Raw genomic sequence first — 26,686 nt, forward strand, 5'->3', positions numbered from 1 at the left:
CTTCTTTCACTGTGCAAACTGTCCCCCAAGCTCCTGTGCTCCAATCAGACAATCAGAACTTTCCATTCATTTCAGCAAAGTTCTATTGAGCTTCCACTCTGGGTTGGGTAGTAGTCTAGGCTGGGGACAGAAAGATGAATGAGACCCATGCCTTATGAGACACATGATACTCACAGTGAGGAGGAGAGAGCAGATGACTTACACTGAAACAAAAACAATAATGTTTCACATCCAATAATATAATAATAAACAAGACACAGAGGAAGGGGTTATTTCTTCTCTTCTGAGAGAATAGGAAACAACAAAGATACATTTCTACAGAGAAGGGCTTTAAAGGATGAATAGGAGTTTTCCAGGGAGAAAAGGAGAAAAGGCCATTTCTGGCAGAGCCAACCAAAGCAGAAAATTCTGAAAGTGAATGTTTGACAGGAGCTGCGGAGAGGGAAGAAGAGGGTGACACATAATTCAGTAAAGTGATTGTGTTGAACATGGAACAGCAGAGGGGTGGGAGATGAGCATAAGAAGTTGTGATGGTTCCTTGACACCTTGCTTATTTTTGTAATTTTTTTTTTTTAGATTTTGAAATAATTTGATCCTAACAGGAAAGTTGTAAGCTTGGTATAAAGAGCGCTCATATACAGGCTGGGTGTGGTGGCTCACGCCTGTAGTGCCAGCATTTTGGGAGGCTGAGCTGAGAGCATTGCTTGAGGCCAGGAGGTCGAGACCAGCCTGGGCAACATATCAAGACCCCATCTCTACAAAAATAATAATAATAATGAAAGAATTAGCCAAGCATGGTGGTGCTCACCTGCAGTCCCAGTAACTTGGGAGGCTGAAGTGGGAGGATGGCTTGAGTCCAGGAGGTCGAGGCTGCAGTGAGCTGTGACTGTGCCACTGCACTCCAGCCTGGGCAATAGAGTGAGACACTGTCTTAAAAAAATTCTCATAAACCCGTTTTACCTAGTCTTCCTAAAATCGTCAATATTTTACCACACTTGCTTTATCATCTTTTCTTGATACATACATATTGCATTTGTATTTTTTTATGAATTGTTTAAGAATGAGTTGGGGTCATGATATTCCTTTACCCCTAATCACTTCAGTGTGTATTTCCTAAGACCATGGTCATTTTCTTAGGTAACTACCATATAAAGTCAGGAAATTGACATTGACTTAATACCATTATCTAATCCACAAACCTTATTAATATGTCACCAATTTTCCCAATAATTTCTTTCATAGTAACAAAAAGAAAATGTTGACCACCTGTATTAGTCCATTTTCACACTGCTATAAAGAGCTGCCTGAGACTGGGTGATTTATTAAAAAAAAGAGATTTAATTGGCCCACAGTTCTGCATGGCTGGGGAGTTCTCAGGGAATTTACAATCATGGCCGAAGGGGAAACAGGCATGTCTTACATGGCAGCAGGCAAGAGAGGAGAGCAGGGGAAACAGCCACTTATAAAACCATCGGCTTTCTTGAAAACTCACTCACTATCACAAGAACAGCATGGAGGAAAGAGCCCCCATGATCCAGTCACCTCCCACCAGGTCCTTCCCTTGACATGCGGAGATTACAGTTAGAGATGAGATTTGGGTGGGGACACAGAGTCAAACCTTATCACCACCCTATTTACAATTGGGACTCCAACCCTCTCAACATGCCCTGGGCCCTGGCTCTGCTTTTTCTTTGTAGCATTTTCTGACCTCTAACATGTAGCATTATTCCTATTTCTAAAATGTCTCTCCCTTCCCACCATCCCACTAGAATGTAGATCTATGAGGTCAAGAACTTTTGTCCATTTTGCTCACTGTCATATCAACACCCAGGAGAGTGACTGCCACATGAAAGTTATTAAATAAATAGTCTGAATGACTGAATGGCCAAACCTGGAGGTATCTCTTCCCAACCCCTCTTCCTCTTATTTTTTTAAGCAAAAAACAATAGGCTATTTTTTCATGCCAAGAAAACTGAGCCTCCATGTTAGTGTTTTTCTCCCTTTAAGTTCTTGCTTGGGGTTTTCTTATTTTGCCTCCTGATAGGTACGTAGGGTATATTGCAAAGGAGAAGGTTATCCCCAGAACAGCTAGGGCTTCTTCTAAGAATAGCCCAAGTCAACTGAATCTCCCCTGGGTCTCCTATACAGATGTGAAAGTCCTTGACATGCAATGGTATCTATCCCTCTGCAAACAGAGTGAGCATCTTTAGATCTAATTGAAAGATTAAAAAGAAGATCCCCAGCTGGAAGGTCAATTTATAGATTCCACAGTTAAATCAAGCCACATTCTTAAGCACATGGGACACAAACCTTGCATTAAATCAAAGACTTAATCCAAGTTAAGCCACCCTGGATGAGGAGCTAGAGCTGGAGACATGTAATTAACACCAGCCAGTCAGCACCAACTGCTTCAGCTGACAGGTCCACAGCCTGGAAAACCTTGTTACAATTTCCAGGAGGGCTTTGGGGATGCTTGTTCTCAAGTTCCAGAGACGGTGGGCTTTGCTTCTTTCCATCTGATCTCAACTACTGACCACCAGGCTCCCTGCACTCCAGCCCCACCAACCTCCTTGCCACTTCTCAAACATGTCAAGGACGCTTCCATTTCAAGGTCATTTGCACCTGCTCTCTCCCTGAGCTCCCTCTGGACTTTGCTCAAATGTCACCTCTCTCTCACTCTATTTATTTCTGTAAGCCTCTCTCCTCCTTGTCACCTGCTATTCCCTCCTGCTGTATCCCTTCCCGCCACTCTTATCCCACCTGACACACTGCACATTGTACTTATCCATTTACTCTTTCTTCCCCTGAGAAACCCCATGAAGGCAGGACCTGTGCTTTTTCATTCAATGTTCCCTCACCAATCATCTAGAACAGTATGTAGCATATATCAGGCACTCAGTACCTAACTGCTGAGTTAATTTGTTGGCTAGTTATCTGATTGATTGACTGATTGATTGGGTGGTTAATTAAATGGTTAATTAATTTACCTCCTGAGGCTGGGCCCCCATATGGCCACCTAGCTAAGAAACACCATCAAACCGGGGGTGGGTATTTTGGTTACGAAGGCAAATAAGAGCTACCTAGAAATGCCCTGACGCCAGATGTCTTCAATATTCTGAGACCTGAGTCTCTGTTATAGGTTGGTGTCCTTGGGATAAAGTTCAAGTTCTCTGTCCCTTTGGTTCTTACCTTGAGGAACTCCATCTTCCACCCCTGAACTGCTCATCTACCCTCCAGTGAACTAGAACTTTTGTCAGCTCCTCAAAGTCACCAGGTTCTTGCCACATATGACGTCTCTTCCTAGAACAGTCCTCTCCATCATGCCATAGTCTTCAACTCTGGCCAGCGCCTGCTCCCCAGGTGTCCCCTGTCTGCACTCACCACACTCTTCTTGCAGTGAATCACCAGACTGTGGGTTCCACGAAGCGAGAGCCCTTGCCTTCTTCTTCCCCATGGTATCCCAGTGTCTAGGGCATTGCCAGACTCATGCTTGAATATTTGCTAATTTGGATAGGAGTTATCATCTTATTTCACAGATGGAAGTTATGAACTTTTTACACACCTAATGTACGGGAATTTTCACACTAAACAATCCTCCAATTCTCTGTGGATACCAATTGGGTATTCTATAATTAAATTAAACTTTGGCACTGCCTACCTGGTGTTACCGTCAGACCCTATGAGTGAAGGGTTCCAACCCACAAGAAGGCCCCCAACCTCTGAGGCCAGTTGCAAATCCCAGGTTGCTACCTGTACTCCTAAGCAACCAGCTATAAATCGGGGGTTCCTGCAACCCACTCTCAGGTTTGATAATTTGTTAAAATGACTCCCAGAAATCAGAAAAGTGTTTTAATTACTACTACTGGTTTATTATAAAGGATGAAAGTCAATAACAGCCCAATGGAAGGGAAGCATAGGGGAAGGATGGGAGAAGGGCCCCATGCACACCAGCCTCCCAGCTCCATGCACTCACCAACTCAGAAGCTCTCTGAACCCCATCCTTTAGTATTATGGAGGTTCCACTACATAGGTGTGATTAAACCATTGGCTATTTGGTGATTAGGTCAATGGTTGTTGACTTCAGCCTCTCTCCTCTCCTTGAGGTGGGAAGTAAGATTTGGGGTGGGCAATGAGCCTAATAGCTCCTCCAACCTTTTAATCATGAGGTTGGTTTCTCTATAGCCAGCCCCATCCTGAATCTATCTAGAGCTCACCAAGAGTCCCCTCATTTGCGAAAACTCAGGAATCGTTGAAAGGGACTTGTTATGAACAACAAAAGATGCTCCCCTAAACCCATCATTCAGGAAATTCCAAGGGTTTTAGAAGTTCTGTGTCAGGAACCAGGACAAAGACTAAATATATACTTCTTCCTTCATCGCAGAGGTTAAATATAGTATAGTGGTAAGACCACAGCTTTGAAGACCATGAGTTCAAATCCCAACTCTTCCACGTAATGGCTATGTGACCTTAAACAAGTTATCTCAGCTCTCTAAATCTTTTTCTCATTTATAAAATGACAATCATGGTAAATTTATAATTCATTCAACACCGTTCTCAAGGCTAGGAATATGGCAGTAAACAACAGATTGGCCCAAAGTGATATTCGAGCCAAAACCCAAATGGTGAGAAGAATTTCGCCACCTTGAGCCTAAAAGGAAGAACCTTCAAGGCAGAGGGAATATCATGCCTGAAGGTGTTGAGGCAGGAACAACCTCATAGTGTTCAGGAAAGATAAAAGAAGGCCAGGCCGCCAGGCACGGTGGCTCACACCTTTAATCCCAGCACTTTGGGAGGCCGAGGCAGGTGGATCACCTGAGGTCAGGAGTTCGAGACCAGCCTGACCAATATAAAGAAACCCTGTCTCTATTTAAAAAAATACAAAATCAGCCAGGCATGGTGGCACAGGCCTGTAATCCCAGCTACTCAGGAGGCTAAGGCAGGAGAATCGCTTGAACCCGGGAGGCAGAGGTTGCAGTGAGCTGAGATCGCGCCATTGCACTTCAGCCTGGGCAACAAGAGCAAAACTCTGTCTCAAAAAAAAAAGAAGAAGAAGGCCAGTGGTGCCTCTGGCATCCCCAAAAGCAAGCCTCCAATACCACAAAGGTACACAGGGCCACTTTCCCTGCACCTCTCGGCTCCTGATCTACCCAACTCCAGACCCCAAGGTTCACCTCTAGCTCTGAAAAGGAGCACAGCTTCTCCAGCCACATCTGCCTCATTTTGCCTCAACTGCAATTGGAATCGTTCTCTGATTGGCTCCCCTGGGTACGTCCCCTAGCCTGACCTTCTCAATCCCCCACTTCTGTGCCCTACCATCCCCTTAAGTGACACTGTCAGCCAGGTTTGCCTGGCTCTCAAGCTGCAAATCTCTAAGACAGAAGTCAATGGGTAATGAGAATAAGAAAATGTGAAGGACTAGAACTCCAGATCTTGATGCTACTGGTATTAGTTAGGTCAGAGAAGATAATAATTTGACATCCTAGGAACCCAAATTTCCATCCCCGTCTAACTCCACTATCCAATGCTAAATTCAATGGCTTATACCAATGCTATTTGATTCTTAATCAGTGTCTGCTCCATCTGGTCCCTTTACAGTACTGATTCTCAACCGGGGCAATTTTGCTCCCTAAGGGACATTTCGCAATATCGGGAGACACTTTTGGTTGTCACAACTGGGGTGGACGGTGCTACTGGTATTTGGTGGGTAGAGGCCAGGGATGCTGCAAAACATACAGCAGTGCACAGGACAGCCTGCCCCTGTCCCCAACAACAAATTTTCCTGCCCAAAATGCCAACAGTGCCAAGGTTGAAAAATGCTGCTTTTAAGTAACACAGCTCACCCTGCATAAACATTAAACATATATATAAAGAGATGTTAAAATGTATTTGTATGCAGATAAATGCAAATTAAAACATTAATGAGATATTTCACACCTCGCAAGCAGACAAATTTCAAAAAGGACAAATATTGGCAGAAAAGTGGGGACATAGGAACCCTCAGGCACAGCTGATGGAGGGTATGCTGGTGTGACCTGTTACTATTTAGTCAAAGGAAGATTCACAGACCCAAGGACCAGCAGTTCTATAAGAAAGTCTTACAAAGCTCCTTAGGAAGACACATACAGAAATAATCATTGCAAGGTTATTTGTGGAAGGTGGAGGTAACGAGGTTGTCTATCATTGGGGAACTAGGCAGATAAAAGTGGATGAGCAAATACCGTGGGGTATTAGAAGTGACCTTTTTTTTTTAATTTTTCTTTTTCTTCTTTTTTTTTTTTTTGAGACGGCGTTTCACTCCAGCCCAGGCTGGAGTGCAGTGGCATGATTTCAGCTCACTGCAACCTCCATCTCCTGGGTTCAAGTGATTCTCCTGCTTCAGCCTGCTGAATAGCTGGAATTACAGGTGCCTGCCACCACGCCCAGCTAATTTTTTGTATTTTAGTAGAGGGGGGTTTCACCATGTTGGCCAGGCTGGTCTTGAACTCCTGACCTCAGGTGACCCACCTGCCTCGGCCTCCCAAAGTGCTGGGATTATAGGCTTGAGCCACCGTGCCTGGCCAGAAGTAACATTTTAGATGTACAAATAGCAATAGAGATGGACCTTACAGCTTTAATGAGAGTGAGGAGGGGGAGTTAAAAAAAAAAAAACAAAAACAGCATGAGACGATTAATACAATTCCACATGCATCAATCTTTTTCAAAGTGTACACATTGGGAGAGTAAATTGGCACATGTACTTTGGAAATTTATTTGATAGTATTTACTAAAGCTCAATATAAATACTTTGAACCAGCAAATTCCACTCCTGGAATTATACTCAAGAGATATGAGTGTTTGTGTCCACCAAAAGACATGTACACATTTAATCCATAATAGCCCCAAACCAGAAACAGCCAGTTGTTAATAAAGAAATTGAGGTATATGCATACAATAGAATACAATACAACAATGAAAATACGGATGCATCTCATAGACATCCCATTAAGCAAAATAAGCCAGGCACAAAGAATAGACACAGAATGCCTCCTTTCATGAAGTTCAAAACCAGGCAAAACTAATCAACAGTGTTAGAGGTCATTACACTAATGTCCTTTGGAAAGGATAGACTTTTTTTTTTTTTTTTTTTTTTTGAGACGGAGTCTCGCTCTGTCGCCCAGGCTGGAGTGCAATGGCGTGATCTCGGCTCACTGCAAGCTCCGCCTCCCAGGTTCACACCATTCTCCTGCCTCAGCCTCCCGAGTAGCTGGGACTACAGGTGCCCGCCACCACGCCCGGCTGGAAAGGATAGACTTTAAGGATTGACAGGGAGACTCCTGCAGGGTCAGAAATATTCTATATGTTCATCTAGGTGGTGATTACACAAGATCTATACGTATGTAAGAAAATATCATGCAGTCCACATAAGGTCTGTGCTCTTTATGTTAATTATACCTTAACTACAAATAAAACTTAGGATGGAGGACTTTCAAAAGATATGGATTCAATTGACAATACCAAGCACTGGCAAGCATGCAGAGTAATTAGGAATTTTCATATACTGCCAGTAGGAAAGCAAAATGACATAGCCCTTCTGGAAAACAGTTTGGCCGTTTTTTATAAAGTTAAATATACACTTATAATGTGACCCTGTAATCTCACCCCCAGGTGCCCTAAAGAAATAAAAACACGTTTGTACAAAAACCCATCCACAGGGCTGGGTACGGGTGGCTCAAACCTGTAGTCCTAGAACTTTGGGAGGCTAAGGCAGGCAGATCACCTGAGGTCAGGAGCTCGAGACCAGTCTAGCCAATATGGTGAAACCCCATCTGTACTAAAATTACAAAAATTAGCCGAGCGTGGTGGCAGGTGTCTGTAATCCCATCTACTCGGGAAGCTGAGGCAGGAGAATTGCTTGAACTTCGGAGGTGGAGGTTGCAGTGAGCCAAGATGGTGCCACTGAGCCGAATCCATCAAAAGAAAAGAAAAGGAGAAACAAAAGAAAAGAAAAGGAAAGAGAAAAAAGAAAAAGAAAAGAAAAGGAAGGGAAGGGAAGGGAAAGAAAAGGAAAAGGAAAAGGAAAGAGAGGGAGGGAGGAAGGAAGGAAGGAAGGAAGGAAGGAAAACCTATACACAGATACACAAATTTATAGACACTCTATTCATAGTTAGCAAAACCTGGAGAAAATCTAAATAGCCTCCAAAGAGGAAGTGGATAAACAAACATCCACACCATGGAATACTATTTGGCAATTAAACAACAAACAAACTCCTGATACATAATAACCAGAATGAATCTCACAGGCATTATCCTGAGTGAAATAAGTCAGCCTCAAAAGGTTATTATCTTAGTCCATTCAGGTTGCTATATACCAAAATACCATAAACTTGGTGGCTTATAAGCAAACGAAATTTATTTCACACAGTTGCGGAGGCTAAAAGTTCAAGATCAGGGGGCCAGCATGGTGAGGGCCTTCCTCTAGATTGAGGGCCCTCCTCCAGGTTGCAAATGGCCAACTTCCCATTATATCTTCAAGTGGTAGAAAGAGCATGAGAGACTTCTCTGGGGTCCCTTTTATAAGGGCACTAATCCCATTCATGAGGGCTCCACCCTCATGATCTAATTATCTTCCAAAAGCCTCACTTCTAAATAGCATCATATTGGGGATTATATTTCAGCATGGGAATTTGCAGGAGGACACAAACATTCAGCCCACAACATGACTTTCTTGAAAAGACAAAAGCATAATGATGGAAACAGATCAGTGGTTGCCAGGGACTATGGGTGGGGGAAGCATGCAACTATAAGGAATAACATGAAGGACTTCTTTGGAATGATGAAAGTGTTCGGTATCTTAATTGTGCTCAAAGTGGTTACATTAATCTATATATGTGTTAAAATTCATAGAACCATGCATCAAAAAAAGAGTCAACTTTACTATATGTACTTAAAGTATAAAATAAATGAGATATTGATTCAGAGTCATATTCCACAATTAATAACTATATTAGGAATAAACAAATACGCGCACACAATATTCTTCAAGAATATACACAAACAAAAGATATACATTAAGCACACACGATGGCCTATTAAGGGTAGGAAATGTAAGTAACTAGAGTGAGGTGGTGGGGATGAAAGGAAATGAACCCAGAGACAAATCAGTGAGAGACACATTTGATAATGCAACTAGGAAGACTTACAGGAGTGAGAAGCGATTGTACTCACAGCTATGGTTTATTACAGGATCGGCAAGGGGCAAGGGACACACAGCAGGTAGAATCTGGAAGAATCCATGCACAGACTCCCAGTGTTCTCCCCACCTCTCTCTAGCCCTAGGGATCACGGTGAATATGTTCTTTCGGCAACACCTCTTCAGTGTTTCTGCCTAGAGAAGCCCACGTTTAGGCTCAAAGTTTGGGTGTTTTATTGAGAGCTGGTCACATAAGCACAAAAACTAGAAACAACTATTGAAATTCCAGGCTCCTGGAAAGGAAGCAGGTATTCTGGGCGCGAAGCAGGTATTCTGGGAGCTAAGCGGGCAAAACAGTGTTTTACATAGTTAGATAACAATGCAAAAGCCAAGTTCCCAGATGCCAGTGAAGAGCCAAGCCTGAAAGCAAGCCTTTCTAAAGATGGCAACCTCATGCTGACTATGTTAATTCTCCCTTGCCCTGGGTCCTTGCAGAGACCCATGTGGATGTGCCACGAGCCTGTGATCCAAAAAAATAAAATAAAATAATTTTTTTAAAACTAGGATCTGCTTCTGGTTTTCAATTCTTCTATTATTTAAGTCATGCAACAGTGTTAACCAGGCAGGCTCACTAGCATGATGGATGGATAAATAAGTGGGTGGGTAGGCCGACGGATGAATGGATGGATAGACGAATGGACGGATGGATGAATGGACACATGGATGGATAGAAGCAAAATAAAATCAATACTGTATGAGCCAAACAAAACAATGGCTTGAGCATTCTGTTTCTAATGATGCTCTCAGGAATGCAGCCACAAGGAAACTCTGCCCTCACCTCCACCCCATGAGGCAGAAACTGGCCACCAGTGACAGGGAAACAAAGTGGATTCCTCGAATGTCATTGTTATTAAAACAAAACTAGTCCCAGAAAACTGACCTGAATGTATTTTTTCTCTCACTTTTGGCCTGACTGTCTAATAACCAAAAGTCACCAGAAAAAAAAAATTTTTTCTCAGCAAATGCTTAAAAACAGAGAAGACCCCCAAAGTACACAGGGGCAGAGAACAACTCACAAATCTCAAGAATAAAATAAAGACGGAAGATTCTCACCCTACTGCAATGACTCTCCCAGCCCACTGCCACCAAAGTTTCTGAGATTAAAAAGAGAAATTATTTAATATATGCAGTTTCAATTTTTAAAGTTTCAGGCATGAAAGAGCTTTTGCTCCCTAATGATGTCCCTCAGATGTAGCAAGACCTGGTCTCTCTTTCACTGAAGAATTGCCTTCATTTTCACCACAGACTTCCCTTGCCTCAAAGACAGATGCTCAGTCAGAGAAAGGAGCCTGAGGATCCATAGAAACTCTCTGATATTAATTGATCTGCTCCTAGTTTTCAGTTATTCTATTTTTTAAAACATGCGACAGTGTTAACTAGGCAGGCTCACTAGCATGATGGATGGATGAGTGAGTGGGTGGGTAGGTTGATGGATGAATGGATGGACAGATGAACAAATGGACAGATGGATGGATGGATGGATGGATGGATGGATGGATGGATGGATGGATGGATGGATGGACAGATGGACGGACAGATGAATGGATGGATGGATGGGTGGGTGGATGGATGGATGGATGGAAAAATGGATGGATGTATAGATGGAGATAGATATAGACAGAACTAGATACAGACAAATAGAGACATCGTTAAAGAGAGAGAGGTAATTATTTATTTTTGCAACAAGTATTTATTATCTACTTTAGGTCAGGCACTGCTCCAGCTTATAACTGTTTGTTATAACAGTAACCAAAACAAACAAACATCCACTACCTTCCCGGAGCTTAGAGAGAGACTATAAAAATTAAAAATAATATATAGAATTATAGATGGTGTTAAGTGCTATGGGGAGAGAAACATCAAGTAAAGGGGCTTGGGACCGGCTGGAAAGAGTTCCAGTTCTTAAAGAATAGGGTCAGGAAAGGACTCACCAGAAAAGTGACTTTTGAATGGAGACCTAAAACAGATGAGAGTGTTCAGGTTCAATATTACTTTTTAAATAGACAGACTTAACTACCTGAGAAAAAAACAGGCATATCCCAAAAATACTAGGACAAGGGAAAATTATAAAAGTTGATTTAACACCAACAGGTATGTAAAGGAGATGATGACATAATGCTTAGTTCCTGGCAAGATTTAGATTGGAGAAAAATAGCATGACATGGGCACACTTGGAAGAAACCAATGGGCTATCACCAAGAAGGACCTGCTCGAGCTCAAGATAACCAGGAAACATAACCACCCCTTATGTTATAATAATGTGGTAACACAAAAAGGTGGGATGGCATGTCACATATTGACTCGGAAGTAGGCAAAAACGTGAGACCAACTTGGGCTTAGATACACATACCTAGGAATATACTAGGTGAAGTCAAAGACAGCAGGAGATTGATATTCTACATAAATATGGAAATGCACTTTATGAGTTCTTGAGAATCTCTGGGGATTTTTCATAGGTCTCACCCATCACTGGTCATGTAAATATGTCATTTTTAGCAAAATCACATTCTCTTCACTTCTATCTGTTCTGTATTGCTGCAAGGACTGCTTTTTGAACTAGGGTATGACAATGATCCGTCTTGATAGTGTTTGTGAGTCAATTCAGAATTACAGTGATTACTAAAGTTGGTCACATATTCCCCCCATCTCTATATGCATTCCTCTTTGTGATGTCACTTTGCTGTCCTTTCCACTAAATAGTAGAACCTATTTCTCTACCCTCTTGAGTCCTTGTCATGTGATTTGCCTTGACCAAGAAAATCTCAAAGAAGTGATGTTATGGTAATTCACAGCCTACACCACAACAGGCCAGAAACGTCTACCTTATCCCTCTTGAAATGCTACCCTGAGACTGACATATGGGGAGTCTGGGCTAGACTCCTTGAGGGTGAGAAACTATGTGAAGCAAGGTCTGGCCAATAGACAGCCCCAAATGCCAGAATTGGGAGTGAAGTCATCATAGACAATCTGTCTCTAATGGAGTCCCCAGATGTGTGCAGAATAGGAATAGCCCCAGGAAAGACCAACAGAAGAACCACTCACCTGAGCTCAGCCCAAATTGTTGACTCACAGAATTGTAAGTAAACCAACAAGGTGGTTGTGTTAAGCCATTAAGTTTTGGATAATTTGTTATGCGGGAATAAATAACTAATACAGATGGTAGCTACAAGTCTCTTCCTATGCCTATGGTTGTCAAGTAGACAGGTGAAGCAATTAGTAGTGGAAACTATCCATTCATTAAACAAGTACTTATGGAGCTCCTACTCTATGCACACACAGCCTAGTGGCTCACAATAAGCAACCTTTACAGCCACTGCTTGATGAAATATCTCCAGACAAAAGTATTCCTCCACCATAGCATAAGGTGATGGTCTGCCCTTGTGTATCCATCCTTGTTTAAGAAACAAACTAATGTCCCTTAACTAAAGATTCTCCTTCCAGTGAGGACAAATGCAACTCCTCGTGACCACTGTTTCTCCTCTGGTGCCCTTCCAATAACTCAGAAAATCTAGATTATTGGTTGTTTATGACTTCACTGGATAGCACCTCTATTGTCATCAGGCCTTCAGGAGGTTGGGTCTTCTGAGAAATGCCTGCCCCTCACCCAGCCCTAGCAGGCCAATCCATTCCTCTTTGTGTGGTGGAGTCACGCCAGTGAAGTGGATGAGGAGTAGGATGGGAGTCAGAAAACTTAGGTTTCATTTGTGCATTCTCAGACTTGTGGGAAGATACTTCACCAGCCCCAGCCTTAGAAATGAGAGTAACAGAGCTGTACAATCTCTGAGGTGTTATGTATTCTTAAGGATACACTTACTGGCAGGGAGGAAATGCTCTAAGCCATTTACATACATTACCGACATCTTCTCTTTTAACCCTCCAGGGATCAGGCATCTCCACGGGGTAGGCACTCCCACCTTCCTGATTTTACAAATGGGAGTCTGAGGCTCAGAGGAATTGGGTGACTTACTCAATGTCACACAGCTAGTTGCAGGAGTCAGTCTTTTAACTCAGGCCCATCCAGTCTTAAAAACATGGACTGAACCAGTGTACATCCAACTGACAGATGAGTTTAGAAGCTATCTAGTCCAGACAAGCTTGAACTCAGCTAGTCCAGCCTTTCATGCACCTCACCTATTTAGTGACAGGGAAGTCATTACTTCTCCAAGCAACTTACATTACGTTAGGCTGAAAATTGCCTGCCTGAAATTCCTGCTCACTAATCCCTCTTGGCCCTCTGTTAACATCAATAATTCCACCGATAATTACAAAGCACCTACTAGGCACCAGACATTATCCTAAGTGCTTGGGATACACGTATGAAATTGCTCATTCCAACTTGGTTTGGCCCAGTTTTCAAGGGTTTCCTGCTCAAACTCACACCTCAGCCTGAATTCCCACTCCTGAAGATTTCTTACCTCTCTGTAGTGAGCTCTGTTGATGGCCTCTCTCCATCCTGCTGTAACTCACAATGGAACCTGTCTCTTCCTTCATTTCTCCCAATGATCTCTAAGACAGAGCTGTCTCATGCCGCTGACTTTACTGAAGCTCTCAGGATATGGAGGGGGATTACAGCATGCAATAAGCCATGACTTCCACAAAGTTACTTATCTCTGTCTTGAAGTTCTTCACTCACCCCTGCCGTAGGAAATTTCACTTCCCTAGCCTTTCCTCAGAGCCCAGCTGCTGTCATTTTTGGGGGGTCCTCTACCAAGTCTCTTGAATTCCACATTCCCTAGCCTTTCCTCAGAGTCCAACTGCTGTCATTTTGGGGGGATCCTCTACTAAGTCTCTTGAATCCTACATTCCCCAACCTTTCCTTAAAGCCCAACTGCTGTCATTTTGGTGGGGGGTGGGGGGGTCCTCCACCAAGTCTCTTCTCTATTTCCTTCTAATTTTTCGCAATGGTCAGTACACCCAAGACCCTCTTTCCCTGAGCTGGGAAAAGACCTCAAATTACTATTTTTTTGTCATGCATACCAATGCAACTCTTCTTAATCTAAGCTTTTCTCATCTCTACCGTACTCCAGAGGAAACCTCCCTGCAAATAAGAAAACCACACCAATTAAAGTATTTTTTCTGGGAAAAGAAAATATGCAGTTGTCTCAGAAGGATTCCTCATGATACTCCTAGGTCAACTAATTCAAACAGCAGCCAACTTTTGAAATAGAAGTTTTCTATTAAATAATAGTAATGTCAACTATTAAACCTGCACCTTGGCATATGATATGCTACATTCATTTCTTCATCTTCCAAATGAAGAAACTGAGGCTCAGAGAGAAACATTATCACTAGCTTTAAATCACTGAGCTAGAAAGTGGAAAAGTGAAGATTCAAACAGTCCCCAAACCAACACGCCTTTCCAGTGCTTGAACTATGATCAGGCAAGAAAGTGCAACACTTAAGGTGGCACTCACTCTCAGGGGCTGACTGCACAAGCATGACCCTAAGAATGGGTACTTCCTTAAGAGCAGGGTACCTAGAATCCAAGTTCAGGCAAGTGCAGGGTGAATGCAGCTTTAATTTGCATCCTAAGCACCCCGCTTGCCTCACCACAGCTGGGGCCCTGTACCTTCTCTTCCACAACCCTGAAATGCATGCTGGACAGTGACCATCCTGACTGGGACACTAGCCTGGCCCTCTGGGCTTGCATAGCAATTGATGCCTGGCTTTCCCTGTGCAGGTGGTGCTGATTAATGGTGCTGTTAAGAAGAGATCCAGCTGCTGCTTTCAGTTTCCTCTTCCTGCAGAGATCCTTAATTACTGGGCTTCACCTGTTGAGTTTCCTTAAATGACATGAGTGTGTATTTTTAAGTGGGAAAACAATTCATTAGGAAGTGCCAACATCTCAGAGGAGGTAAATCCTCCAGTTAATTTCAGAACCACACTGCTTCAGCCACATAAGAGAGCGGTCCAAGGGGGTACTGCTTTTTTCTGAACGTCACCAAGCCAAACAACCAACCTTCAGCAGATGGCAGGGAGCGGCCTTGAGAAACCACAGGGAGGGGTCATGAGATCAAACCACCCTTAGCCATCAACCTTTAGCATCCTCCCTGGTTGCCCCTTTAGCTCAGCACCCTGGGAATGATGGGTCCACACAGCCATTTAGGTACTGCTTCCACACGGCTGAAATTGCATTTGCATTTTATTAAATAAAAGCAATCTGTGCAAAAGCCTAGCCTAAAGTTACTAACAGATATTTGAGTCTAAGATAATACATCTTACAGTATTAGAATTCAGGTTCTAAGACAATCACCCTCAACCATTGTCAATCTTTACATTAGGGTAGATTTTTGAAACTTCAGGTCCCTACAATCTAGATTCTGATTTAATTAGTCTAGGGTGGGACCCTGGCCTTTAGTATTTTTTTAAAGCTGCAGCCCTCAGTGGTGACTCCAACGTGTAGCCAGAATTGGAAACCACTCTAATTTGTATTTTATTTTTTTTATTTTTATTTTTGGAAACAGGGTCTCACTCTGTCACCCAGGGTAGAATGCAGTGGCACGATCTCAGCTCATTGCAGCCTCTGCCTCCCAGATTCAAGTGATGCTCTTGCCTCAGCCTCCCCAGTAGCTAGGATTATAGGCATGTGCCACCATACCTGGCTAATTTTTTTGCATTTTTAGTAGAGACGGGGTTTAGCCATGTTGGCCAGGCTGGTCTCGAACTCCTGGCCTCAAGGGATCCACCTGCCTCGGCCTCCCAAAGTGCTGGGATTACAGGCATGAGCCACTGCACCCTGCTAGTTGTTTTATACATAGAGAGAGAGATTACAAAATACTTTCTAAAGGATAGATCCTGGGTCTTATCACTGTATTGCTCATACCAAGCAAAATGCCTGGCACAGAGTGTGCCACCGATACATGTTTTGTGCATAAAAATAAATAATGTCACTTGATGCTTACTAGAGGCAGGAGAAGGGACATAGAAGGAGCAATGGGGATAGGTCGGCCAAGGGGTACAAAGTTAATCAGGAAGAATAAGTTCCTGTGTTCTATTACACAGTAGGGCGACTGGAGCTAATGACCATACATTGCATATTTCAAGATAGTCAGAGAAGAGGAGCTTGAAAATGATCACCACAAAGAAACGGTAAAGGTTTGAAGTGATGGACACACACTGGCTACCCTGTTTGATCATTATACAATGTATATATGTATCAAAATATTACACTATACTTATAAACATGTATAATTATATGTGTCAATTATAAATGAAATGTTAATATGTCCCTTGATTCTTGTTTGTACCTTTTTCCAATTATTTAGCCTTACATATATATCCATGTATATATAAATTTTACATAAATGCATAAAAAGTGAGCATTCCTTTGTGTGTGTGTGTGTGTGTGTGTGTGTGTGTGTGTGTATGAGAAAAAGAGACAGAGACAAGCAGAGAGAGAGAGAGAGAGGCAGAAACAGAGAGAGAGGAGGAGACAGGGAGAGAGAGACGGCAAACTTTTTTTGCTACCAATTTTGGCTCATTTGCCCTGCCCCTCTATTCTCACCCCCATTGCCATCTCCCCACCTGCTCCAACACCTGCCCCACCAGAAAACCTGTACTGACAGTCCAGTCAGTGGTCTTCTATATAGTGTCCATCCTCATTTAATTCTAGACAGCCATACAGACACACGAGTGTGGGCAATCATTGTTTTATAGAAATGGGATCATATTCTACCAACCGTTCCCATGTATTCAACAATTCCTTGTTGTAAGCCCTCCAAGTTGATTTCTCAAAGAACTAAAAATGGAACTTTCACTGGACCCAGCAATCCCATCGTTGATATGTACCCAAAGGAAATAAGTCATTCTACCGAAAAGACACTTGTGCTCATATCTTTATAGCAGTGCTAGTCACAATAGCCAAGACATGGAATCAACCCAGCTGTCCATCAGTGGTGGACTGGATAAAGAAAATATGGTACATATATACCACAGAATACTAGACAGCCACAAAAAAAGAATAAAATGATGTTCTCTATAGCACCATGGATGCAGCTGGAGGCTGTTATCCTAAGCAAATTAACGCAGAAACAGAAAACCAAATACTGCACATTCTCACTTACATGCGGGAACTAAACACTGGGTACACAAAGACAGAAAGACGGGAACAAGAGACACTGAGGATTCCAAAAGGGGGAAGTGAAGGAGGGGGCAAGGGCTGAAATATTACCTATTGAGTACCAAGTTTGCTACTTGGGCAACGAGATCATCAGAAGCCCAAACCTCGGCATCATGCAAGATACCCATGTAAAAAACCTGCAGGTGTACCCCATTAAACTAAAAAAAAAGAAGAAGAAAAGAAAGCCCCCAATACCCCTGATATCACTCACCTTCACTGTCCTTATTGGGCACGTACCAGTCCATAGGTGGAAGCCCCATTGCTTAGTCAGCCACTCCCCCATGGATGAGCACTCACTTTGCTTCCCATTTCTGCCCGTCAGAAATAACTCAGCCACAAACAGGAGGTCATCTGATGCCTGCAACCACCCTATACAGCACAAATATCCATGTGAATCTTTCTTCCCATCCGCAGACACATAGCCAAATGCCTAGCAGGCCTTACCTGACCCCACTAAAACAGTCTTTCTGGCCAGGGAAAATTATAAAGAATTATATGAGATCACACATACAAAAAAAAAAAAACCTTCACAGTGTGCAGAAGGCTTTGTGTCAAAGTCGAGCTCGCACGTGGCCGTGGCCGGGTTCTCTGTGGCCAGCCCCATTCACAACACAGCTCTGGCAGAGCACTCTTCAATAGCATCATTAATAGCCCATTGATCCAATTACATTTCTTTCTGTTCCACTTCAGAATTACAATCTCCTGTTCCCCCTGAAAGAGCCCAGATAGATTCCCAGATGAGTATCGGAAGAGGTAGCTGCCATCAGGACTTGCTTGATGGACCCAAGCACTCATCTAATAGTGGCACTGGAAGAATTAATCTGGCTGATATATCAGACCTCTCTCCTCCGTGGGAACTTGCCATTTTCTCCAGCCTCTGAGTTTTTCTAGTGAGATTCAGAGATACAGCCAAATGTGAGTTAACCCAGGGACATCCTAACACTGCCCTCATTGTGTGTTCCCAGCATGGGGTAGGCACTCCATAAATAATCGTTGAATTGAAAAATGCCTAAGGAGGGGTATATTGGGGCTCAAAGCAGACCAGGTCGGCTGAAGAAATGGGCTTTATCCAGATTGTGACTTTGCAGGTTGGACCAGAATGAGAGTTTGAATCTGATTCCATAGGTAATGCATAAAATGAAAATATATACTATAAAAAGGCAAAGTCAAGACCTTGAATGATAGCTGAGAAAAAAGTAGAGAGAGCTAAATACATATTCCAAGTCTAATGGGCAGGATAATGAGGGACAGAGGTAGGCAGCAATAGGACCAAAATAGCATTCATTCACTTAGTAACTGTATAATGAAGACCTACCTTACGCCGGGCACCGTGCTAAGCACTGGGGAGGCGGTGGTGTAGAAGTCATTATCCCAGCCCTCAATTGCTCATGGTCTTAGGGAGGAGGCCAAGACACAATCACATTAGAGCCATGACCAGGACAGGACAGAGCTAAAGCCTATGACAAACATAAGCCCAGGGAAATTAAGGAGTATACAGGGAGGCGCCTAAGCCAACCTGGGGAAGTATCAAAGGCTTCCTGGAGGAGGAGGATGAGGAAGAATTAGTAATGTTGAATACTGGCAGGTGAACAATTCATACTGTGAGAGGCTGTGGCCCCAGTACCCTTGCATCTGCTCTAGACTTTGACTTCTACAGTGAGACTCCTGGCCAATGAGGATCTATGTCCACAGTCCCTGGGGGTCATCAGCCCTGCACTCTCCCACCTCCACATCTTTGTCCATGTTTTTTCCTCTGTATGGATAGCACTCTCTGGTTCCCTCTCCCCAGTCTGTAAAACCATCACCTTCACCTCCCATCAAGGCACAGCCCCAGTGCTACTTCTTGCATGCAGCTTTTCCAACTTCCTCTACCTGGAATTAATCTCTGTCTCTTTCTCTCTCTCTCTGAATTTCAATAACACTTTGCTTGTTTCTCTCTTATAGTACACAGCACTCTTGACATTGTATTATAATTATTTGTGTATTTGTCTTATCTCCTCTGCTAAACTATGAACTCCACAGGGGCAGAAAAAAACCTTGTCTTAACCACCTTTGTATTCCCTGCAGCGCCTTATACAAGGCAGGTGCTTGATACAGGTTGAATGAAGATTATGTTTACCAGGTTCCAGGTAAGTGGAAGGAAATTAAAAGACAGCCCAGCTGGAAACAGTGGGCAGGCATTACAGGCAGGCCCAGCTTTCTAACAGCTATCATAAAACTGGCTGCTCGCTGGAGCTGTGAATTTCCCATCGCTGGTTAGAGAAATTCTTTAAAAGGGAGATTCTTTTAAAAATGGCTGTCCTAGATGATGTCTAAGCTCATCTAATTTTCACTAGGTTACTACAATGGAGAATGGTTGATGAGTAAGCAAAGACAGCAGAAACCCACTACACAGTGAAATAGGAATAGATGTGTGTTATTGTCAATGTGATTGCTCTTGGTTGAATGATGAGATCAGGGGTATTTATTAGATTATTAAATTTTTAATCAATTAAACTAAAAGATCCATTCTCAGAGAAATAATGACAGTATGTCATGAGCAAGGATTATAACTAACCTAATTCTAAACATCCGAGGATTTTTTTTGTTTTTTTTAGAGATAGGGGTCTCATCATGTTGCCCACACTGGCCTCAAACTCCTGGGCTCAGGCCATTCTCCTGCCCCAGATTCCCGAAGTGCTGGGATTACAGGTGTGAGCCACTGTGTCTGGCTGAGAATCATTTTTAAAGTTTGATTTAAACAATCGCCCATCCCCAGATCTGATTTGGGGCATCAATGGGGCCAAATGACATGGGTTTCCTAGAGAGCAAATCTCCGGATGTCATACAGATACTTAAAACCTTCAATGGCTCCCCATTTCCCTACAACACATTCCTAGTCCTCAGCTTGATGTTTGAGGCTTTTAATAATATAGCTCTTGCCAGCTGTACCTTACACAACGCCAGACACACTCAGACCAGAGGTTTCAATCTCAAGGGCATATAGGGACTCAGTGGAGTGTGCTGGGCCAGGACAAAACCACAAGGGCATGCCCCAACTCAACAACTGAGCAACTTCACAGGTCCAGCCCCTTTGCCCAGCAGAAATGCAGACTCAGCATTGCAAGCTCTTCTGAGTTTTCAAAAGAATCAGGAAATTAAGATTTTTTTTTGTAGAACCTGCCATTTTTCAATGTTACCTTAAAAATGCTTAAACACTTTGTGAAAAATGCCCATCTGTGGCTCAGATCTCTATGATTTACTTAGACTCTATTTTTTAATTACTTAGATTTACTAAAAGGTGCTATGCTCGCACCCCTTCAAATATCCCTCCCCGATGTTTCCTCTCTCTAGGTTACTCCTCTCTGTCTCCTTTCCTGGATTTATTCCAGCCCAACCTTTAAGACTAGCTTCTAGTTGCAGTCATTCCTGCAGAATTACCAATTTCTTTTTACTCTTCCATATTGTCACAATGTTTTACAATGAACCTGAGCAGCAGATGCTGTCAGTGCCCTCCCACATCCCCTCAGCTCCCTTGATGATTTTGTGCACACCAGTTTCCCATGTGCTTTCACTCCCAACAGCCTCAGAATATTGGAATCCACTTTCTCTGAATGCACGGAGAGCTAGAAGCACCTGGGAATTTATGTTGCCCAAGAGCAGCCCTTAGCCAATGATTGACAGGTGGAGGAGTTTAAATACTTCACCTCCCTTGCTTCTTAACGGGAATTACTTCAAAATATGCTGCCTCCAGATCTCCCCTGCAGATTGAGCCACAGTTATCTTCTGCTAGACTTTGTTTGCTATCACACACCTGCTTGGGTTTTTCCTGGAAACACTTCCTATTAAACTGGTTTTAAATGAGCCCTCATTTCAGGATCTGCTTCTAGGACCTTTGATAGACAGCTTTTGACATGTTCTCCAATGATCTCCAGCATCTTCTCTGTTAATGCCCTTATACAATCCCCTCACCATGAGTGTGCCATGTTTCTAAATCCAAAAGTGATGAGTGTCACTTCCATGATTGGGATAGAAGAGATTGACTTCCATCTTGCCACCAGACTCTCTAGATTGTCTTCTCTCCTTGTGTGCTTTGATAATGCAAGCTGCCACATTGAAGAGACCCACATGGCAAAGAAATGAAGGTCATCTCTAGTCAACAGCCAACAAAGAGCTCAATGCTGCCAATAACTACTGAGTGAGCTTGGAAATGGATACTTCCCCAGTCAGACCTTCACGTGAGACCACAACCTTGCACCAACATTTGATTATAGCCTTGTGCAAAACCATGAAGCAGAGGACCTAGCTAACTCACATCCATATTCCTGGCCCACAACTATAAGATAATAAATGTGGGTCAGTCAAGCTGCTTAAGTCATGGGGTCACCTGGTATGTAGCAACAGATCCCAACATAAGACAATGTGTAATATTTCTATAATTAGAAAATATTCCATCCTAGATATCTCCTCCTGAAAGCCATTCCTGAGCTCCCAGACCAGGGTGTTTTTGTCACCTCTGTCATGGTCTTCATCATCCTGAATTTAATAATTAATATGCCCTGCCTCCCCATCTTTTTCTCCCCTACTGATCACCTTGAAGGCAGAGCTTTCAGAGAGAAAAGGTCTGATATATTTCTTTATTCATCATCTAAGCATAGTATCATATAGGAGATGCTTAACAAATGTATATTAAAGTAATTGATTTGTTAATTGTTTTCCATATGAGATTTTGGCCAAGTGCCTCCCTATATACCATTATTCTGCAGATGCCAAATCAAGGGTAAGGGAGGCCTTCAATATTCAGCAAAATCTCTACTCCATGCATCCCCCACATCATTTTCTAAGCAGTTTCTTCCTTTCCATCACCAGGGTGCTTATCAATTGTACATTGACAATTCCTCCCATCTGTTCAATTCATCTGTTGGATGGTCACTCTCTGCCACTTCAGAGCAATGGGGAGTTCACTCTGCCTTTCATACCCCTCTGGGAAGCCCAGGAAAATTATCTCTGATTAATGTCATTTCTTCTTTTGGGTCTAATGACAAAATTACAGCAAAATCCAGCCCTACTTTGCACCACACTTGGAAAAAAATCTGCTCAGCTTTTGTCTGCCAACCACAGCAAAAACTTGATTAACCAGGACTCAGTGCACATGGGCAGAGGGCTTTTTCCCCCCAGTTAGCAGAGGGATGAAACTGAAAATCCCATTTATTTCCTCCCTTATTAACAGAAAAAAAGAATCAATAGCTTAGCCCACATTGCTACCCACTGTCAATAAATTCCCCCAAAGAAATTGAGTCTCTCTTGGAAAGATGAGCATTCTTGCAGGCCTAAGAATTGTGTATTCTGGGACTAAAGATAGTGTTAGAAATTAGACTGAATCAGCAGAGATCTTTGGCATGTGGAATTTTTATTTAAAACACTATTTGCTATCACTTATATTCCCGTCTTTGCCCTTCTCCCAGAAGCAAAGTATAAAAAATGTGTGTTCTCATTTTTCAAGTGTTCCAGATTCCTAAAGTCCAGTTCATATAAATTGCAGCATATTCTTATTTATATGACAGAGACTGTCACAGGCATCTAAGCTCAAGCTTATTAAACTGAAGTTTCCTATTCTATCTACTCAATGGGTTCTCATAGTCTCCTAAGCATCTCATCATCTTCCTCCTCCCTCTGAGACATGAAACTCCTACTTGGAACCTTTTCAAGGTCTACGGCATTGTGCAAAAAGAAAAACCTTTCTTGTTATGCAACTAACAGATCCTTTCAGTTCCAGGGGAGGAAGGAGCCACCAGAATGGTCACTCAATAACTTAGCCAAGTTTCAACTCTGTTTTAAGGGAAAGGAATTGCAAAGAAAGGAAACATTCGATTATTGAGCACTGACTATGCCAGGCACTGAATTGAGAATGCATTTTTTACTCCTAATCATAGCCTGAGGCCCTGCACGATCTGGTCCCTGCCTGCCTTTTTGACTACACCTCTGACCATGCCCCCACATCACTTAATATGCTATACCCACACTGGCCCTTTTTATTTTCTAGAGCATGCCAAGCTCTTCCTACCCCAGGGCCTTTGCACTTGCTGGTCTCTCTGCTGAGAATGCTTTTGCCCAGATATGTGCGTGGCTCACTCCTTGTCATTCCTCATTTCTTAATTCAAGGCCACCTCCAAAAGGTAATCCCGAACTAAGCTGTCCACCTCCCATGCTAAGTCATTCTTTATCTTGTTCCTTTATTGTATTTTTTCCATAACACATCACCATTTTAAATTAACTTAGTTATTGCCTGCCTCCCCATGAATATATAAGCTTCATGAAAGCAAAGTGTGTTCCTGACTTACTCACTATTGTGAAACCAACATGCTAGCACATGCCTGCCATATAATAGAATCTAAAAACATTTCTGGAGTGGATGAATAAATAAGTTTCTCTCTGAATCCTGCCAAGATAAATATTGTTATTATCCCCGTTAGCAGATAAGGAAGTTGAGGTTCCAAGCAGATTAGGAAATCTCACAAGTTTGCACAGCTAGAAGGTGCTAGAGCAAATCTTACAACCACGGAACTGTCTAACTCCAGTGCATGCATTCTCCATCATTCCTAGACACTGTGTGGGAAGACAGGAGATTATAGCTTAATCAATTGTTTTCTAACTTCTGTTCATGAAAAATGTCTGGGCAGCTGTGACAAGGAAAAAAGTCTTTTATCAGCTCACAGTTGTGAGTGTGACAGAGCAGGGATATATCTTCTGCATCAAACATTGCCAGTTTGTCAAATATCAGAATAGAATTGAATTTTAGGAAGCCACTATTTCTGATGCAGCTGTTTCTTTTGGATCCTCTCAATGGGCAGAGAAGATCCCAGCAATAGAATGGGTGAGGCACGCATCTGTCTATTAGGATGGTTGGAATGCATGAATTTGATAAGCCCTATATTTGGTGAGGGATGTCTGTCCTCACCCCAAACCTTCTCACCAACGTGACCTCCCGCCAGCATGGAAGCCAGTGTTACAACATTGTGAGAACTGGGCCCTGCAACTGTGCTGGTGGCCATTTTTCTGGGACCCTCTTCTTTTACTGATACCTTTGGGAGTACTCCCATATTCATTTCCGTTGGGCATCTCATTCGTTGCTGTAATTCTTGTCTTCAGTTCAAAGCTCAAAAGCCTCACCATAAAGAACTGGGTTTTACTTTTTGGATCTTGATCCTTGGGGAAACCCCCTAAAAAAGTCTATATCTACTATATCCACTCCCCATCTTCCAGTCATCTCTGAGCATGGCTGATGTAGGGAATTGCTCAACACAGTTTCAAAGCCCCAAACAACAAGCTAGCTCTGGACATGCCTACCTGCTATGGTTTGAGTTCAGTTTGTGTCCCTCCCCAAAATTCATCTGTTAAAATCCTAATCCCCAAGGTGATGGTATTAGGAGGTGAGGCCTTTAGGAGATGACTGGGTCATAAGACAGGAGCCCTCATGAATCGGATTAGTGACTTTATAAGAGATCCCAGAGAGATCTTTGTCCCTCCTATCAGGTCAGATTATAGTGAAAAGTCATCCATGTAAGAACCAGGAAGCAGGTCCTCAGCAGACACTGAATCTGTAGATACCTTCATCTTGAACTTCCCAGACCTCAAAACAGTGAGAAATAAATTCCTGTTGTTTATAAGCTACCAAGTTTATGGTATTTTGTTACAGCAGTCCAAATGGACTAAGACACTACCCCCATTCTATTTAAAAGAAAATAATCTATTAGCTCACCACATTTACTGTGCTGAAAATTTCCAACCAGAAGAAAAAGCTTTATGGAGGTGACCCAACGATATGGAGGTGCTTACAACCCCATGGGTGGCTACAAGAATCAAAGAGAGAAATTATAGTTCAAAGGCAAAACGTATACTATCTCCTCATCCCTATTTTTTCTTGGTTTAAGTCATTTTTATTAAGAGAGTCATAATGTTCTTTATCTACATGACACTTTCCATCTTTAAACATTAACTAATTAATTGACTGAAATGGTATCTCGGGAGCATTTATCATCTATCACATTAGCCAGAGAGCCAGGGAACTGTCTATAAAAGCTGTTGAACACTCAGTGGAGGCTTCATCTTTCCGCTTCCTTTCCCAGAAATGTTTTTTTGTGTGTCTGCATATGAATGTGCAATGGGGAAAAAAATAAAAAGAGAGGATTTGACTTCCACCAACTGCTATAAAAATTTACCTCTGGGAGACATGGAATTTCAATTGTGAAATAATCAGTCTTGGAAATTGTCCTGTCCTCCAGGAAAAGAAAAAATATGTAGTTTAACAGCAATTGCCCTTCAAAACAATTACTAATTATAACATCTATAAAGAAAAATACCCTCGATACCATTACTCCTAATAAAGCCAGGCGAATCTATAGAAAGGAATTAGCTGGCATGTCTAAAATCTGACAGGAGAGCTGTTGGGGATGGGTCAGAAGAGGAGTGAGCTCCAACCAGCTTAAAAACCTGGATCCAAAGCTTTAGGAGGCTTACCACCTGGAGCAAGCCTCTCTTAGCAAATTGGCAAGATTAGCACAAGAAATCAGGCCAGGACAATTACAAATTGAGAACCCAAGTCATTTTTCCTGACTTTCCTTCCACTCTATCCCATCCCAGCTTTCTCCATGAACCTCTTAACCTCCTCTTCAAGCAGATGTCACGGTACCTGGAACTCATGCCTTACAGCTCACCATCTTCCCTTCACCACAGTCCTCTTAAAGACATATGCCCAGGTAGGGTTACACCAAGCCCCTGAGCCCTTGGATTGAATTTGACTGTCAGATCCTAACTGTTTGAAACAACATATGTCATGGAGGAAGGATCTTGGAGGAAAGAAAGAGAGAAAGGGGCCACAGAAAAGAGAAGTTGGTGGCAGTGCTGAAGATAGACAAATGGAAAAAGTCCATTCTGATTTCAAATTCTCCATCACTTCCCTGCTGTGAAGGCTGTGTCAAGTTGATTTGAACTCTCTGATCCTCTCACCTCAGTTTCTCAAAGTGAGGGGAAAATATACCTGAAAGCCTACTTTTTAAATGAGTGTTCAGTTGCAGACAATGGAAACCACTCCAGCTACCTTACGCAGAAGGGAAGTGATTACCAGATGTAAGCTGACTTAGGAAACCATTGGAAGGACCCAAAGAGTTGGAGCTTCCAAGAACAATTCCCTGGTCCCCCAAATCACTCTGCCTCTGCTATGATGGTGAAAACTGCTACCTGCACTACGAGAAGTCACCACATCAGGAAGCTAATGGCTGCAGAACTACCCAGACTCTGCAGAGATCCACAGGAGCAAAGTGAATGGCATTATGCCATTTTCCCCTCTTAACTCAGTTATA

The 26,686-nt window shown here is 42.7% G+C and overlaps 1 long non-coding RNA gene across 1 annotated transcript; it reads left to right on the forward strand.

Annotated features, from left to right (window-relative positions):
- The first annotated feature begins 11,904 nt into the window (after window positions 1–11,904).
- On the forward strand, window positions 11,905–21,194 carry LOC105371096 (uncharacterized). The gene is made up of 4 exons (XR_933126.3): window positions 11,905–12,305; window positions 18,039–18,263; window positions 19,416–19,477; window positions 20,912–21,194. It is a non-coding gene; the product is annotated as an uncharacterized LOC105371096 (long non-coding RNA).
- The last annotated feature ends 5,492 nt before the right edge of the window (window positions 21,195–26,686 follow it).

This window comes from Homo sapiens, chromosome 16 (genome assembly GCF_000001405.40).
Source record: "Homo sapiens chromosome 16, GRCh38.p14 Primary Assembly".
NCBI lineage: Eukaryota > Metazoa > Chordata > Mammalia > Primates > Hominidae > Homo > Homo sapiens.